This window comes from Homo sapiens, chromosome 3 (genome assembly GCF_000001405.40).
Source record: "Homo sapiens chromosome 3, GRCh38.p14 Primary Assembly".
Classification (NCBI taxonomy): Eukaryota; Metazoa; Chordata; class Mammalia; order Primates; family Hominidae; genus Homo; species Homo sapiens.
Genome location: NC_000003.12, coordinates 171,047,015 through 171,065,085, shown reverse-complemented (window position 1 = coordinate 171,065,085; position 18,071 = coordinate 171,047,015). Strand labels below are relative to the sequence as shown.

At 39.2% G+C, this 18,071-nt stretch overlaps 1 protein-coding gene across 8 annotated transcripts in view, besides 2 other annotated features; it reads left to right on the top strand.

Moving 5' to 3' along the window:
• The window catches only part of TNIK (TRAF2 and NCK interacting kinase), a 401,995-nt gene extending 395,323 nt beyond the window's left edge, over positions 1-6,672 (top strand). For all 8 annotated transcript variants that reach the window (NM_001161566.3, NM_001161565.3, NM_001161562.3 and 5 more), the window contains one exon: positions 1,122-6,672. In NM_001161566.3, the coding sequence (NP_001155038.1) occupies positions 1,122-1,205 (84 nt within the window). In that variant the 3' untranslated portion in view covers positions 1,206-6,672. The remainder of the gene's footprint in view (positions 1-1,121) is intronic.
• Positions 2,838-3,416: an enhancer, noted in NCBI's record as "OCT4-NANOG hESC enhancer chr3:170779459-170780037 (GRCh37/hg19 assembly coordinates)". NCBI's record gives its function as "activates a minimal SCP1, AML or CMV promoter by ChIP-STARR-seq in naive H9 embryonic stem cells {active_cell/tissue: H9 hESC(naive)}" and the evidence as "EXISTENCE:reporter gene assay evidence [ECO:0000049][PMID:30033119]".
• Positions 14,931-15,140: a silencer, noted in NCBI's record as "silent region_14889". NCBI's record gives its function as "represses an Ori minimal core promoter by ATAC-STARR-seq in GM12878 lymphoblastoid cells {active_cell/tissue: GM12878}" and the evidence as "EXISTENCE:reporter gene assay evidence [ECO:0000049][PMID:35858748]".

Genomic DNA, 18,071 nt, shown 5'->3' with positions numbered 1-18,071 from the left:
AGGCTGGGGCCACACCAGTTGTCTGCAACCCAAGGTTTACAGCCAGGGGCACACAACTTGGAGGGAAGAGCAGCCCTTTCTTTTCTTCATTGTGGTTTTCCATAGGCCCTCTCTGTCCTTCTCCGTTTTGATTCATTGACCCTAAGAGTAGCATTACTTTCATATGCAGCATTAGGTGAATGTCAAGCATTTCCAGAGACCTCCCTAAGAAGTTGTTGTTAGCATTCTTCTGAAGAAGCTGTAGAAATGAAGTAGCAGAGACTTTAGACTAGTGACAAAAGCAACTACCTAACAAAAGTTAGGTATTGACTGACTGAAGGGCTAGGCCATAGCCCAAAATATTACTTTCCTGGGGCAGTGGTTCTTTAACATTAAACATTCAGCTCAAGCAAGCAGTAACCCAAATTTTTCTCACGTTTGTCAGTTGTTTGATAAAATGACTTAACAGACTCAGACCTAATGGACTGTGGTTCTCCTCATTAATGCTATGATCTCATTTGCCCTGGGATATGCCACCATCAGCAGAGAAACCATGCGTTAACTCTTGAAATGCCAAAATGAGTAGGCATTAAATACCTTGCCCTATCTGACCACACTATTTAATGTTTTTATCTTAAATTTAAAAAACTGAAATCTGAAACTGTATGATAGTCAGTAGGCCTAAAACTCCCCCTTGACTTTGAGAATTTGAAGGGATTCCCTTCCATCCTGAAGTCTACTTTCTTGTCATTTAAGGGTGAGAGAAGGGAAGCTTCTGTGCCTTTCTAGAAATTAACAAAGAACCTGTTGGGTCCTAGACCAGAAATCCAGCACGTTATCCTAGCATGAAACTCCCTTTTAAAAAGTGAACACCCAAAGAGATGTTACAAATGAAGATATAGCCCCTTCAGCATCTCTGGAGACCAATACCACAATAAGGAATAATAACAACCTAGGAATAAAGGCAGGAGTTTTTACATAGGATGCACGATATCCAAAGGGACTTTATAAACACAAGCCATTGAGTCTTAAGACCTGACACATGGCAAGGATAGGACATGTGAGAGAAAATGGATGGACGGTTGAAGAAAAGAGGGGAAAAGACCATGCAGTTGAACTAACTTCTTTTTAATTTCAAACAGGTATTTTTTGCATCCGTGCGATCTGGAGGAAGTAGCCAAGTGTTTTTCATGACCCTCAACAGAAATTCCATGATGAACTGGTAACAGAAGAGCACTTGGCACTTATCTTCATGGCGTTATTTCTAATTTAAAAGAACATAACTCATGTGGACTTATGCCAGTCTAGAGGCAGAATCAGAAGGCTTGGTTGAACATATCGCTTTCCCTTTTTCCTCTCCCTCCGCCCCTCCCAGTACAGTCCATCTTTCAATGTTGCAGCCTGGTTGAGAAGGAGAGAAAAAGGTGGCAGGAATTTCCAGGAGATCCCCAAGAATGCTGCCTTGTCTGTGGACAAAGATGGACCATGTGCCCTTCGGAATTAGGGATAGAAACAAATATTGTGTGCTCTTAACGATTAAGCTGTGTTATGGTGGGTTTTCAGGTTTTTACCTTTTTTCTTTACCCCTTTACTCTGCAAGAATGGGGAAAGAATGCATACTGCGAAAATGAGTCTTTTAAATTCTGTCTGCCTACTAGTTTTAAGTATATGGTATGTTGTAAAATTTCCAATGATGAGAGACAGCACAATAAATGTACCTTATCTCCTTAGGCTGAAGGCCATAACTACATAGTGGAGTAATTTAAGAACTCTCTTGCCTTCACCAACCCAAAAGGTTGCTTTTTGATAGCAACTGGCTAATGAATTTTTAAAAAGAGAAGAAAAATACTAGTTTTCCCCTCTTTTGGGAAATAGATTTTAAATGGCTAAACTACTAGCCTTAAAACTACTAGTCTAATAAAATCAACTACCACTTTTGTGAATCTGACAGGCCACATTTTTATATGGCCCTTTACAGAATGGAGTGTGTTGAACAGGATACTAACGCCATTGAGTTGAGCTGGCCTAGCGATGGAGGGACACTCTAACACAACTTTCCCTCAGCTATTATGCAACAGATCAGGGAAAAAGATGGGATGACAGATGGGGTCAGACAGAAAGAGCTTCTGGGAAACAAGCTTACATAGTCTTTTTTAAAATGCACAAAGCCTCCCAGCTAAGAGGTCACTTGGTTTGGGCTTCATTAGGACTGAGACTTTGTTGAGTTCTTTCTGGGACTTGGAGAGTGGATGATATTCAGGCTCTGAACATTCCCAGCGCTCTCCCGAGGGTGCCACTTTCTCAAGATGAAAACTGTGACTGAAAAAATTAATAATAAATGTTTCTGAGCTGCCTGTGTTCTCCCTGTGTGGGTGAGAGAAGGGACTAGACTCCTAAGCCTGCCTCAGATACAAGAGGCATCATTGGCTCCAATTTTAGAGAACTTGAAAGCAAGGCTTTGGACAAAATTTTGAGACCCTAATCACTTTACCTTCCTCCAAATTACCCAACATACGGTAAACAACATTTGTGCAGAAGTATGTATGTATTTAGTTCAGGTTGACTTGTGTCCTTATAAACTCTTACTCAAATGATTTGAACTTTTATGCGACTGGGATTTTTTTTTTCCAAAGCTACAAGCATGGCCGCCTGTGGTATCGAGGTGTTGCAAACAATATCTGTGTTGCGCTTCCTGTTTTAACCTACCTCGTTTTGTTTGTTTTTGTTTCACTGTTCATCACAGCAGTGTTATCTCCAGGAGACATATAGAGAGCTCAACCGGCAATCTCAGGTGCATTTAACATTTTTAAAACGAAACAGTAGTTGACCAAATTTTTCTTCTTAAAAAATTGGAAGTGGGGGGAATCCAATGACAAAAACTAATGTGGCTTGTTTCTGGAGAAAATAATTACTGTAAATGGAACAACAACAACAAAAAAAACTACGATCTTACTGACTTTGCCTAAATACACAAGCAGCTGATGTACTATTAATGAGAACGAAATACACATTAGGAAAATGGAGCCATTTCAATCTAGTGGTTTGGGCAAGATGGGGAAGAGAAGGGGAAACATTCTAGTTTCTGGATTACATTATTATGCCCCTCCTGAAAAGGTGGTTGTCATTTGCATTTATTTAAAGCAGGTAATATGCAGGAATGTAACTGAGGATTATCTTCAGGCAATCAGCAAGATATCCTCCTCATGGTCCCTTTAGCTCTCAAAAGCAATGAAATCCTCCTGTTCTCATTTTTACTGCTGTGGTTGTGCTGCTGAACAATACTATCTTCTCAAATTCCATGCCACAAATTCAGCAATAACTTTTTGGATTGAATTTAACAACTACTGTAATTGGATGCTGATGTGGACAAAATATATTGATTTCGATTTCACTCCCGAATGTGATTGCCACCAGCTCTTTATATTGCTGCTGTGGTATTTTAAACCAGAAGCTTCTTTAAATTATGTTGCAAACTGATCTTTGTTTTTATGTTTTGTTTTGTTTTTATTTCTAAGTGATAAGTTTGAAACACACAGCTTTAAATGATTTTTTTATTGTGGGATTTTGGGTACAGTTAAGAAATAAAAGGGAATCATTGTGTTTAAACATAAGGTAGTTTGTGAATGTATTTTTTAAAATCTAGAGTCATTGAAACAAATCATAAGAAAACAATATTAATGCAGTCTTGTTTACAGTATGTACAGTGACATAACATAGAACATGAGCTTTTCTGGTGCCAACAACAATAAAACACACGTTAAACATCAAGCCATGCCTTTTATATTTTTGTACTAATATTTTACACTGAGTACAAGGCAAATCCAAATTTAAATGGGCCCCCCAGAAATCTGTGCTCTTTAAAAGACAGATATTTAAAGAATTCACTGAAGCTTTTATCTTCAAAAATAAATTTTCCTCCAGCAAGACAGACCCCAGCCCTGACATAAGGAGGCCTAGAACATGCAGAATACGTCAGAATGGTGTCCTTGTGGCTCATCCAAACTTTCTGAATTGCCTTAATTCTTTTTGGGGGTAGGGGAGGAACGGTTGCTTTTCATCCATTTTTATAGCATCTCAACAAAAAAAATCTTCAGTTCTGATCTTTTTATAGGTGATTTTGTCTCTAGAAATTGGCTCATTTTATTTTTATTTTCCTACAAAGAGAAACTGGAGAAACTGAGCCCTCCCCTCAGAGTAAGTTTCACTAGATCTGCCAGTTCTTACTGCTCTAAATTAATAATCATCCAGTAAAATCTACTGAGCCTGCCCACACCATAGTCTGGGTCTGGGGTCTGGCAGGTGACCATCATTCCTGGGTGCCAGTCAAAGATACTGTAGCATGGATTCCTGCATCCAGTGGTGGTAGGAATGGATGACCAGTGAAGTTCCTTCAAATAATGAGGCTCTTCCCCCTGCCAGTTCCAGCCAGACCACTGTCATAACACACAATGCAAATGAAGACAGCCTTCACTAAGTTCCACATAAAATTGAACAGCTCTATTTTAGATAGATCTCATTATTTTTCTTGGAGACTTCTAAACAATCCTTCAAGAAGACCTAGAACTATTATTTTTATTAAACAGGGTATATTAAGTTATGGGTGAAATCTCACAAGGTCACCTGGACAGGGGCTCCATTTTTCTAACACTTTGACATTGTTTTCTAGGGTGCACTCCTAATATACTTTGCATCAAGTACATGTTTTTTAAAAACACCTTAGTTCCTGGTTGTCAAAACCTACTAACAATTTTTGTCTGTTCTTGTGACTCATTGGTAATTGGTGTCTCTGGTCCCTCCTGTCCAGTAGATTATTAGAAAGATGTGAAATTCCAGCCAGAACCATTTTGGTTTTATCCACTGCCAGGAAAGGAAGGGGCTAAAGTCTCACATTCCACGAAGCTTTTAAAAAAATGCTTTCCCTACTACTATGTGTACCAGTTCCCGTCACTGTATTCTTGAAACGTGGAAGAGCTCTTTGTGTTAACAGTGTGTGCTGTCTTTGAAAGTCTGCTTGAACAGGCATCACTTGCATTTGTGCTGATTGCTTTAAGATGTAAGATGTGCTACATTATTTTTAAGAAAAAAAATAGTTATTGATAAAACTTTTAATTTTAACCTACTGCAGGAAAACATGAGAAAATCCACAGCATGCTGATAACAATTCTGAATGATGCTACTATGCTCTTTATATTCCAGAATCACCACTGGTACCATGTTCTGATCATTTCAACAGTCTCTAACTTGTTAGTTACCTTTTAGTTCATTCTTCAAAATTTAAATCTAACCAAATCAAGCAAAACATAACCAACCAACCAAAAACTGACCTCCCCTGAGACTACATAGTTGTAACATAAATCTAAAATCCAAAAGTCTAAATTTGATTTAATTTACCTGCTAATATTTCTCATAAATGCCACTATATCTCCTTGGTCACTATATATCAGGAACCCTAAAGTAAGCTGTCCTTTCATGGATCTTAAATAAATTGGGTGTAAAATTGATCACTTTTCAGGAGTCCCAGCAAAGAAGAAAACCTCTTGAGAATTTGCAAGTTCAAAACTGACAATTTGTATATTCCTACCAAACATTTTCTAGGTTGTTTTTATTTCTACACCATTATTCTGGGAATTCTTCCATTGATAACTAGAATATTCAACAGTTTGCTTAGCATTAAACAGTGTGAGATCATAACCCTGTGCTTTGGACTTTATTCTTCTAGACCTGCCATTCCAGGAAGTGCCAGAATATACCAAAATAAAAATCCCCATAAAAGCATTTTTAAACAAAAATCCCTGGGTAATGTTTGAGTTATTTTAAATCTAGATCAAAATCTTGGATTCTTCTGAGTCCATGATGACAAATGTTTGGATGAAAAGTAGAAAATACAGTTAAAAATAAAAATGTCCTAAAGTTTACAGATTTTTGAGTTTGTGTACATATCTTCAAACTCACTCCTTGCATGATAGGGTTTGGTTTTAATGGTTTATTTTTATCAGCACCAAGTTGCATTGCACTATTGAGGCTGAGCAAATGCTGGTGGAAAGGTGAGTTTTCATTTCTGGCAATGGATCATTATTTGTACACTGTAAATATCATGCCCAGCTACCCCTTTCCCTTATCTCTTCCCCTGGGATAAATGTTAAGGAATAGTAATACTTATTATGGTATGTTTAAGAAACCTTGGACATTACCCTGAATCAAAACTTCAAATGTTAGGTGGCAGCAGGAAACAAAAGATTACAGCTTGAATGAAATTTTAAAATTGAATGTTGTAAAACTATTTTTGAACGTTTTAGCTGCCTTATTTATGTTAATATAACTGTAGAGAGATGCCAAATGTATAATATCAGAAGGGAAAACTACGATTTTGCTGTGCCTACAATTGTTTACATTTTTTAAATCTCCAGTTTTCAAAAGTATTTTAAATTGTCAAACATTTGCTAAAACTGGATTATAACCTCACCTGAGAATGAGAGAAGAAAATCTTCCTGGCATATTTTCCAGTCTGAAACTTTTGGTTACTTTCAGGTATTTTTTTTCTTGCATACAAAAATCATTGAGAAAGTACTTTCTACAGTTATTCTAAGCAGTCATTAAAAATGCTTTGATAGGTTTCCCCACATGGTAACTACCATGTCCTGGAATATAATATGCTATCTTTGTCAAAATATGAATAATAAAACATTAATCGTAGGATGCCTCCTTGTTCCTCATTGCCACTTCCAAACTATTCTCCTTTCCTCCTCCTGAACACTCATTGTTTTGAAGCTGTTGACATCAGCCTCCCAAGTCCCTACATTACCCTCTTTTACTCCTTCTCATTGCTCAAGAATTTTAGGTTTTGGCTCACTGTTGCTCTCTTTACCACCACCCTGTCATCATTCTTGATTATTTCAATATCCACTTAAGACAGTCCTACAAATACCCTGGCTTCTTGGTTCCCTGATCTTGACCAGTGAAACTTATCATTGCTAATTACTACATCAGCTCCTTAAGTGATAGCAGACAATTCTTATTTGCTCTAGGTAAATCCCATTCAACCTCACCAAATAAAGATCATTGCCCCAGAAACCGAATCCTCTCTTCTGCATCCCCTATTCTATTTCACTGTATTTTGAGTTTAATTGTATTCTGCAGTGTATCTCGCTGTGTTCTGTATGCTGCAGTATCTCCGGTCTTCAACACCCTCCTTGGCCCCATTACCCTGTCTAACTGAAACGGCCCAATAGTCCCATAGACAGTTGTTTTTGGATAAACATAGAAACTGACCCTTTTGCTGTTAAAGCTTGAAACTTGTATTTGTTTTCCTTCAGGCCTCTCAAAAAAGTATCAAAGAACTGGAACTCAACAGATCATAGCACCAGATGCCTTCTTGCCCCTCCTTAGTTCCTGTTTTCTTACACATTGTTACATTTCTTCCCTGCTATATAAATGCCTAGTTTTGGTCAGTCAGGGAGATGGATTTGAGACTAAGCTCCCATCTCCTTGGCCGCAGCACCCGACCAAACCAAAGCCTACTTTCTTGGCAATACTTGTCATCTCAGTGATTGGCTTTCTGTGTGGCAAGCAGCAGGACCTAGACCAAACCTAGTGTTTCGGTAACGTAACTACCATCTTATTTATCTGTTTCTCTTCACAGAAAAACTCTCTAGGGGGAACTGTGTATACTTACTGTCCTAAATTTCTCTCCTCCCTTGGTCTTTTGAACCAACTCAAATCAGGCTTTCATCTCTACCACAGCAGCTCTTGCTAAGGACACCAGCGACCTCCATGCTTTCAAATGCAATGGTTAGGTCTCTGGCTTCATGCTGCTTGAGTTATCTGCAGTCTTTGACATAGTTAATAATTACTTCCTTCTTGAAATGCTTTCTCAGTTCTGGGGCATCTTTCTCATGTTCTCTCACCTTCCTGGCCACTGCTTCTCAATCTCCTTGGCTGACTTCTTGGAGTGCCCCAGTCCTAGGCATCCCCCTCTAAGTGATCTCTCCCAGTCCTGGGGCTTTAAAAACTATACACTTACAACACCCACATTTTAATCTCCAGACCCAACCTCTTCCCTGAATGCCAAATAAAACTGGCATACAATTTAACTAATTTCCTATGAAGCACCTTCATTTGGATGTGTCATTGGCATCTCAAACTTGACATGTTCACCAATCAATACACAGTATTCCTCTTATTCATGGTTTCATTTTCCTTGGTTTTAGTTACCTGCGATTATCTGCAGTCTAAAAATATTAAATTGAAAATTCCAGAAATAATTCCTAAGTTTTAAATTGTGCACCGTTATGAATAGTGTAATGCAGTCTTGCTCCATCCTGCTACACCCCACTCAGGACATGAATCATCCCTTTGTCCAGCGTATCGATGCTGTAAACATCACCTTCCCCTTAGTCACTTTGTAGCCATCTTGGTTATCAGATAGACTGTCATGGTATCACAGTGCGTGTGTTCAAGTAACCCTTATTTTACTTAATGGCCCCAAAGTGCAAGAGTACTGTGCCTAATTTATACATTAAACTTTATCAGAAGTATGTATAGATAGGAAAAAAAATAGTATGTATAGGGTTCAGTATTATCCACAGTTTCTGGCATCCACAGTGGGTCTTCAAACTCCCCCTCAGATAAGGGGGTACTACTGAACTCCCATTGCAATCCTCCCTGTGCCAGTAAATGGCAGCTCTATTCCTTCACACCAGAAAATCTCGTTATCCTTTATTTTTCACTTTCACATACCACATCGAATCCATTTCTTTTTTAATCCTGTTTTCCCTAGTTTCAGAATATATCCACAATCCACTCTGGGTCCAAGCCACTTCTTGCCTGATATGATGGTGTTAAAACATATTCCAGGTTATGCTACTTTTCTGCTAGTCCCTCAATGCCTTCCCATCTCACCTGGAATGTCAACATCCTTACAGTGGCCTAGAAGGGCATTGTGATAATCTGTCCTACTTTTGGCCCCACCTCAGCCGCCACTGCCACTTCTCTGACCTCATCTATTTCTTTTGTCACTTTGCTAAAGTCACACTGGCCTCCTTCCTTCACCCAGAACACCCTCAAAGCATGTTCTGTCTCAGAGTCTTTGTCCTTGCTGTCTCTCAGTCTCAAAACTTCCCCCATATGCCTACATAGCTGACTCCCTCCCTTCAGGTCTCTGTACAAATATTCCTGTACTGTCAGAGACCTGTGTCAAATAACTTCTCATCCCCCCACTCATTTTCTGCTTCATTGCCTTTCACAGTACTTATCACCATATACTTTGCTTACTGGTCCGTCTCCAGTGCTTTGAAGAATGCTTGGCAAATATTAGTCACTCAGTAAATATCTGTTGGATGAAAGAATGAATGAAAATAATAACAGAGCTTTGGAATTTTTTAAAGGGTAAAAAACTATATGATTAATTTCAGTTTCAAAAAAAAAAAAACACTGTCTCCAAAGTTTATATCATAAAAGCATAGGTTTTATGTCATATAGAAAATAGAAAACCCTACAGATTTTCTTTCCTGGAAGGCTATTGTGGATGGAAGACACCGGGCTATGACCCTGGCTATACTTTCTTGCTCCATGAATCATCCTAACAGGCCAAGTTGCAGGAACGTAAGAAGGGCTGTCATATAGAACCATGAGAAAAGCAGTATTTCAAAACTCTTACATTTTTACAGATAATGATCCATTTTAAGCTATTGGCATTGCAATAAATGCAGTTATTGGATGTGGGTGGGGATTCTGAATTTTGTTTTCTGGTCTAAATGTTTAAAAAAACAATTTTTTTTTTCTGAAACAAGAAATAAACAACAGTGAAAGTATCCTCCTGCCAAATGCAGCTTGAAGACAGCCTAATGACATTTGGGTCTTAACAATCTTCCAAGGACAACAATTCTGCCTCCCTGGGAAGCCTCTAACATCTGTATATATTCAGCTCCACTGAATGTTGCATGAAGTTTCATTGTAGAAAATTGACACATGCCTTCTGATTAATCTGTTGTTTCACTCAGTCTTGTAAAGGGCACACCCTGTAGTTTCCATTTGTTCAATCATGTATTTTCCTGCTCACTTAATAAATCTTTTTAAAAAATAAAGAAGGAAGATAACAAAATGATGTCATATGAAGCAATATAACAGTGAAAGAATTTTTTTTTTGGTCCTCATTACTTTTTGTGTCTTTTCACAAATCTGTTGAGATTAAGGATAGTGTGTAATTCATGCTAAATAGCTAGGATCAAGGTCTTCACCTTTCCAGGACCAAAAGCATTTTGGAGTTCCATGGTGCTTAGTTACAGATTCCTGAGGTCCTGTTGAAAAATGCAGGACATTAGTTTCAGGGATAGATGGAAAATATGAAAAAGATGCTAAGAAATGGGACAAGGTGTCACAGTCATTGTGAACAATCTAGATTATCACAAACTCCAGTTAAGATACAAAAACATTTTCAAAGTGAGTTCTCTATATGTGAAAAAAAATATTTTAGGGTGTTGGTTTTCTTTAAAATTGTAACTCAACAGCTTAAATACATGTTTTTATATTTTCATAAGCAACTAAATCCATGTTCTATGACAATAACAATTTGATATAGGGTTATCTCCCTCCAAAAATTAGTCATCTTCATGTCCAAAGTTCAATGTTAATTTACCCATAGTCATGAGGGCAGGGATCAGCAGCATCACGGTCTGATGAACATTTTCAGCACTGTACCCAGTGCTCCATGGATCTCAGGTTATCTTTTATTATTAAACCCATTTAATAAGAGAGATGGCAGTTGAAAAATTGAAGGATTTAGAGCTAGAAGGCATCACTGGAGCAGAAAGAAACAGCATAGCCTTCAGGTCAACTTGATACTCTTCCCCCATCTCATTCCTTCTCACTAGAATAGCCACATTCATAATTGGAAGCCTAGCCAGCTCAGGCCAAAGTTATCATTAGTCCAAGGAAAAATGACCAAAAAGGACAGCATAGTGAGTTTTGTATAAAAGCTCATTTAAAGATCGTCTTATTTGGAGATGGTGTGCCCTCATTTTAGTGTTACAATGTATTTGAGAGCTGATGCTGATAATAAATGGCTATTTTATTAAATGCTCTAGTTTGGCAAAATTAAAAGTTGACAGTTTTGTTGTTCTTCACAAGATTTGGGGTTGAGTGGGTGTATTATTAGTCCATTTCATTACTACTGATAAAGACATACCCGAGACCGGACAATTTACAAAAGAAAGAGGTTTATTGGACTTACAGTTCCACGTGGCTGGGGAGGCCTCACAATCATGGTGCAAGGTGAAAGGCACGTCTCACATGGCAACAGACAAGAGAAGAGAGCTTGTGCAGGGAAACTCCCATTTTTAAAAGCATCAGATTTTGAGAGACTTACTATCACGAGAACAGCACAGGAAAGACCTGCCCTCACGATTCATTCCCTTCCCACCAGGTCCCTTCCAGGACACATAGGAATTCAAGATGAAATCTGGGTGGGGACACAGCCAAACCATATCATTCTGCACCAGGCCCTTCCCAAATCTCATGTCCTCACATTTCAAAACAAATCATGCCTTCCCAACAGTTCCCCAAAGTCTTAAGTCAGCATTAACTCAAAAGTCCACAGTCCAAAGTCTCATGTGAAACAAGGCAAGTCCCTTCCACCTATGAGCCTGTAAAATCAAAAGCAAGTTAGTTACTTCCTAGATGCAATGGGGGTACAGGCATTGGGTAAATACAGTCATTCCAAATGGGAGAAATTGACCAAAACAAAGGGGCTACAGGTCCCATGCAAGTCCAAAACCCAGCAGGGCAGTCAAATCTTAAAGCTCCAAAATGATGTCATTTGACTCCATGTCTCACAACCAGGTCATGCTGATGCAAGAGGTGGGTTCCCATGATCTTAGGCAGCTCCACTCCTGTAGTTGTGCAGGGTCCAGCCTCCCTCCCAGCTGCTTTCATGGGCTGGCATTGAGTGTCTGTGGCTTTTCCAGGCGCACAGTGCAATCTATTGGTTGATCTACCATTCTGGGGTCTGGAGGATGGTGGCCCTCTTCTCACAGCTCCACTAGGTGGTGCCCCAGTAAGGACTCTGTGGGGGCTCTGACCCCACATTTCCCTCCCACGCTGCCCTAGCAGAGGTTCTCCATGACAGCCGCACCCCTGCAGCAAACTTCTGCCTGGGCATCCAGGTGTTTCCTTATATCCTCTGAAATCTAGGTGGATTTCAAACCTCAACTGTTGACTTCTGTGTGCCCACAGGCTCAACACCACATGGAAGCTGCCAAGGCTTGGGGCTTCCAACCTCTGAAGTAACAGCCCAAGCTGTACTTTGGCCTCTTTTAGTCACAAGACGAAGGGCACCAAGTCCCTAGACTGCACACAGCAGAGGGACCCTTGGCCTGGCCCACAAAACTATATTTTCCTCCTAAATCTCTGGGCCTGTGATAAGAAGGGCTGCCCCAAAGGTCTCTGACATGCCCTGGAGACATTTTCCCCATTGTCTTGGGGATTGACATTTGGCTTCTCATTACTTAGGCAAATTTCTGCAGCGGGCTTGAATTTCTCCTCAGAAAATGGGATTTTCTTTTCTATTGCATTGTCAGGCTGCAAATTTTCTGAACATCTATGCTCTGTTTCCTTTTAAAACTCAATGCCTTTAACAGCACCCATGTCATCTCTTGAATGCTTTGCTGCTTAGCCAAATACCCTAAATCATCTCAGTCAAATTCAAAGTTCCACAAATCTCTAGGACAGGGGCAAAATGCTGCCAGTCTCTTTGCTAAAACAACAAGTCACCTTTGTTCCAGTTCCCAACAAGTTCCTCATCTCCATCTGAGACCACCTCAGCCTGGATTTCATTGTCCATATCATTATCAGCATTTTGGTCAAAGCCATTCAACAAGTATCTAGGAAGTTCCAAACTTTCCCACATGTTCCTGTCTTCTGAGCCCCTCCAAACTGTGCCAACCTCTGCCTGTTACCCAATTCCAAACTCACTTCCACATTTTGGGGTATCTTTTCAGCAGTACCCCACTCTACTGGTACCAATTTATTCTATTAGTCCATTTTTACGCTGCTGATAAAGACATACACAAGACTGGGCAATTTACAAAAGAAAGAAGTTTATTGGACTTACAGTTCCAGATGGCTAGGGAGGCCTCACAATCATAGCAGAAGGCAAAAGGCACATCTCACGTGGCAGCAGACAAGAGAAGAGAGCTTGTGCAGGGAAACTCCCATTTTAAAACCATCAGATTTTGTGAGACTTATTCACTATCAAAAGAACAGTACAAAAAAGACCTGTCCCCATGATTCAATCACCTCCCATCAGGTCCCTCCCACAACACATGGGAATTCAAGATGAGACTTGGGTGGGGACACAGCCAAACCATATCAGTGGTGGAGACTTCAGTTTTCTTGTTGAAATTTTTCCTAGCTAGTAACATCTAAAAATATATGGTAACAACTGCTGTAGAGAACTTTTACAAAAGTCCAGACCTTATTTCAGTATAGAAATATACTGCCCATCTCAAAAATTGATAGGAAAAAACCCAAGAGCATCACCCAGCACTGGAAACAAAGCAGACACCCTGCCTAATGTCCATGATTTATATTTATTTTGCTGGCTTCATCAAGTAAGTGGAATTTAAGAAAGCTCTATAGGCTTTAGTGCCATCACAGTGGATATGCTGTGAAACAGACGACACAGCGAAACTCAGAAGTCATAAGCTAACTGCATCCTAGTCACCTCATTTACCAAAAGAATTCATTCCCAATTTTTAAAAGTATGATGAGTTCACCTCCTATCTACCTCAGAAACAGAAAAGCAACAAAAAGTTTAGTAACAGTTTTAAATAAAGCTGCATTTTATAAGCCACATTCATTTTTAAAATAATTACTATACATATGAATCATTTATTTAGGCTACAAACAATGCCTGGTATACAGATGGGGTGTTGGACCTCTTGATATATCACCCAATCCCTGGTCTTAGACCATGGTTTGGAAAATTTTTAACTGTCAATATTTTCCCTGAGAATCCCCTTTTTGTTTTGGTTGTGTTTTATGGCAACGTTTTAATGTGGATAACATGTTAATGGTCATTGTTTCAGCTCATTTTAATATGGCTGCCCTTATCACCTTTAGATGTCAGAGAATTCAATATCATCATCGTATTTTTTTTTTTACCTGTTTATATGCCATCTTATTTTTTAAAACATTTGAGGCAGCTATAATCTGGCTTCTGAGGAGCCACTAAAGCAGTATGTACTATCTACGTGAAGGAAAGCAAAGTAGCCATTTATCTATCAGCTGTCTATTCTATAACAGGCCTCATACTGGATGCTGAGGCAGAAAGAGGTGATGGAGAAACGATCTCCCTAGGTTGCAGGGGACATGAGGAAGGCAGGAGACATGAACAGAGATAATGACAAAGAACAGAGTCAGTCATTTGATAGAGGATTTCAAGGATTGCATGGGACAAAAATGAAGGGATATGGCCTTCATAAGACATTGGGAGAGGAAAAAAAAGAGAGAGGCTTTCCAGCCTGAGGGAGAGACTTGAACAATGGCACAGAGGAGTGGAAGAGCATGTGGGTACAGAAATGGGAAATCATTCAATATGGCTAGAGAAAGTGCTAGTGGAGCAGGAAATTTGACTACATGAATGTTGTCAAAAGACAACATTACAACAAATTTAGTTTAAAGATCTTAATTGGCTTTCATTATCAGTTTTAGAATTGGGCAGCCCTCACTCAAGACCAGAACAGGTTCAAAGAACTCTGGGCCTGCAAACTGGTCAGATGACATTATGGACAGAAAACAACAGTGACAGCTTACCAAGTGTTTTTCCTTACTTGAATCAGCTGGTGGCCAATCAGTTGAAATTAAACTGCTGTGATTGCCTAAGATTCAGCCACGTGTTACAAGAGTATATTCCTAAGATAGGCCTTCAGTCAATCTATGTACAAAACCAGGTTTCAGTTTGCCATGTAAAGCCTCAAGCACAGAGGTATCCTCAGGCTTAAACTCAATTGAACAACGTATAGCATTCTCTCTTGACTCCTATGCCCAACCTCCTGACATATGCCACAGGGCTTTCCTGATTCAGCCGGGCCTGACCTCTGGTGGGCAACGTTTGTAACACCATTTGTTAGGAATGGCCAAAATTACCATATGTTGGTATGGTAGCTCCCCACCTCACCCCCACTCCCCAACTTCTTTCCCCGTGAGTGAATCATTTCGTGCATATAATTCTGGACATCTTTTTAGTTGCTTCCTGTAGAACTAATCCTTCAAATGTCCTTACTGAACCTCGGCTTTGATGCATGAAGCTATTGTGTGGTCCTACTAACCTAAACTTTTCTGATCATACGAATCACCTGAGTGCTTGTTACTAAGGCAAACTTCTCGACCATCCCCATCCTGCTGTGAGCAGGAATGTCATTTTGATGCCCACAGTCCTAGACAACCCGCAATCACAAATTTGAAGGAAGACTACACGTCTGGAGTTTTTCCTTCTGCTCTGAACAATTCTGCATTTTTCCAGCCTATATAGACATCAAAAGTGTGTCCAAACAACCACCTCTTTCTCATGTTGTACAGGCATCTTAGTGGCCATCGTTTGTCCCAAGTAGTGCTTTTAGAAGAAAGGCTAGAGTCTGCTGGACCAGCCACTGGGGCCATCTGGCCCACTGACTTTGCTCCTCATCTACACTTAAACCTCCTGGATGGGCTTCATCCTGCGGGGCACACCCCTCCTGGCAGCTGGGAGCTCTGCTGTCCATCACAGGCCTGAGTTTCCTCAGAGATTCTATACTGCAACATGTTACCTCTGCTCAGAAGACTGCTAAGGACACATGACACCTACTTGCTCTTGTAGGCAGATCATTTTCTTCTTTTTTTCTTGAAATATCTTTAAAAAAAAAAAAAAACCTCCCTGAAAGGCACATTTTATTGCTATCATTTCTGCCTTATTTTCATATACTTTGCTTACTTATATTGCTTTTAACTGTTTTTCTTTTTTCATGTTTACCCCCTTTTGATTTTCAAACATTTATTTTTACCATCCTTTTTATTGTCTCTTAGTCTTAGGTTGAGATAAAATTTATTACTACTTATTTACTAACACTTATTTTTTATACATGTCTTCTTCTGATTTCTTTTGGCTTAGCTATTTACTGTTTTGCACTTGCTTTTGCCTTTCTCTCTTATTTGATAGCTGTCAATTCCTACTTCTTTGTGACTTTGAATTCTTCATACTTCACTTTCCTTATTCTTTGAGTATTTTATGCTTAAATTTCTCAACTCACCTTTGTATGTTACCTGTTTTTAACCCTTTTCCTCTTTTTATTCACATTTTATCTATAAGTTTTTGTTGTTGTTGTTGTTGTTGTTGTTGTTGTTTTTGAGACGGAGTTTCGCCCTTAGACCCAGACTGGAGTGAAGCAGCACGATCTTGGCTCACTGCAACCTCCGTCCCCCGGGTTCAAGCGATTCTCCTGCCTCAGCCTCCTGAGTAGCTGGGATTACAGGCACTTGCCACCATGCCCGGCTAATTTTTGTAGAGACGGGGCTTTGCCATGTTGGCCAGGCTGCTCTCAAACTCCTGACCTCAGGCGATCCACCCACCTCTGCCTCCCAAAGTGCTAGGATCACAGGCATGAGCCACCGCACCCACCCTATCTATAAGTTTTTAATCTATACTTAAGTTCTTTTTTACTCTTAAGTTTTTGGTTTGTTTCATTGGTTTTATCTATTCCTTGCATGTTCTAATTATGCTTTAATCAGGTATGCTAATTATTTTTCATCATATTTTAAATTTTTTCTCCCTAATTTTAATTTTAATTTAGAGCTCATCCTGTTTAACTGCTTCCTTTTATGAATGGAGACATGGAGACTAGGAGAGAAATAACTTGCTCAAGAACTTGGGTTGGGGAGTTGTGGAATCTAAATAAGAAGCCGGCTCTTTTGATTACCAGTCTAGTGTTTTTTCTACTGAACTACTCCAATAATAATGACTGGATGAAGAATAATGACTCTTCTTTGAAATAAAGAAAACCTGAATAGCATCTCACCAAAGAGCATTTAGTCCCTAAGACATTAAAATCAAGGGTGTAAATGTCAGTGACAGCACCCTGGGAAAGGCTGTTCCTTGGCCTTTAACTAAAAGAAAAGGTGAAAATAAAGTGAAAAAGAGAAAGTTAAGAAGTGGGACATTATTCCTGAAATATATGGAAGAATAAAATCTTAAGTCAGAGCTTGATGACCCTAAACAAATCGCTCTCCAAGCATCTGTTTTCTTCTTTCTAAAGTAGGGGTAATGAGATCATTCCTGCCTGCCTCACAATTGTGCTGTGTTTCCAGATCAGATCTTTGTAAACTTCGTACATAGTTGTTCTTATAATATGCCCATAAAATCCAAGGGAAAGTTTAGAAAATACTTACGTAAAAAGAATATCATTGTTAGTTTTAAAACAAGCTTGTCCCACCTGCAGCCCCGAATGGCTTCGAATGCCGCCCAACACAAATTCATAAACTTTCTTAAAACATTATTTTTTTTTTTGCGATTTTTTTTTTAGCTCATCAGCTATCATTAGTGTATATTATGTGTGGCCCAAGACAATTATTCTTCCAATGTGGCCCAGGGAAGCCAAAAGATTGGACACCCCTGTTTAACTAATGTACAATATATATCTAGAGAGAAAAATAGATTATAGATATAGATATACACCCATACACTTGTTGCCTATGCCACTCTCAACACTCATAATCATACTGTCCCTTCTTCCCCTTTTTAAAAAGCCAAATTACTTTTTATTGGCTGTCTGTTGTTTGATGCATATTTCCATCTGGTACTTTTGTGTTTATATTCCTATTATATACATTTTGACCTGTATTGAACTGCTTCCTTAAGCTTTAATGGTTAAAAAAAAGCAATATATAAATCAATATATATAATCTATAAATCAATATAACTGTACCTCAATGAAAGAACACCCATCTTTAGACTCAAATTTAGCCTAACCTATCAAGTTTCTGTGGCAAAGCCATGGTTTCTTCCCTAACCTGTTTATTCGTCCTACATTCCCACTAACATTCCAACTATAGCCCTAGCGGGAGTT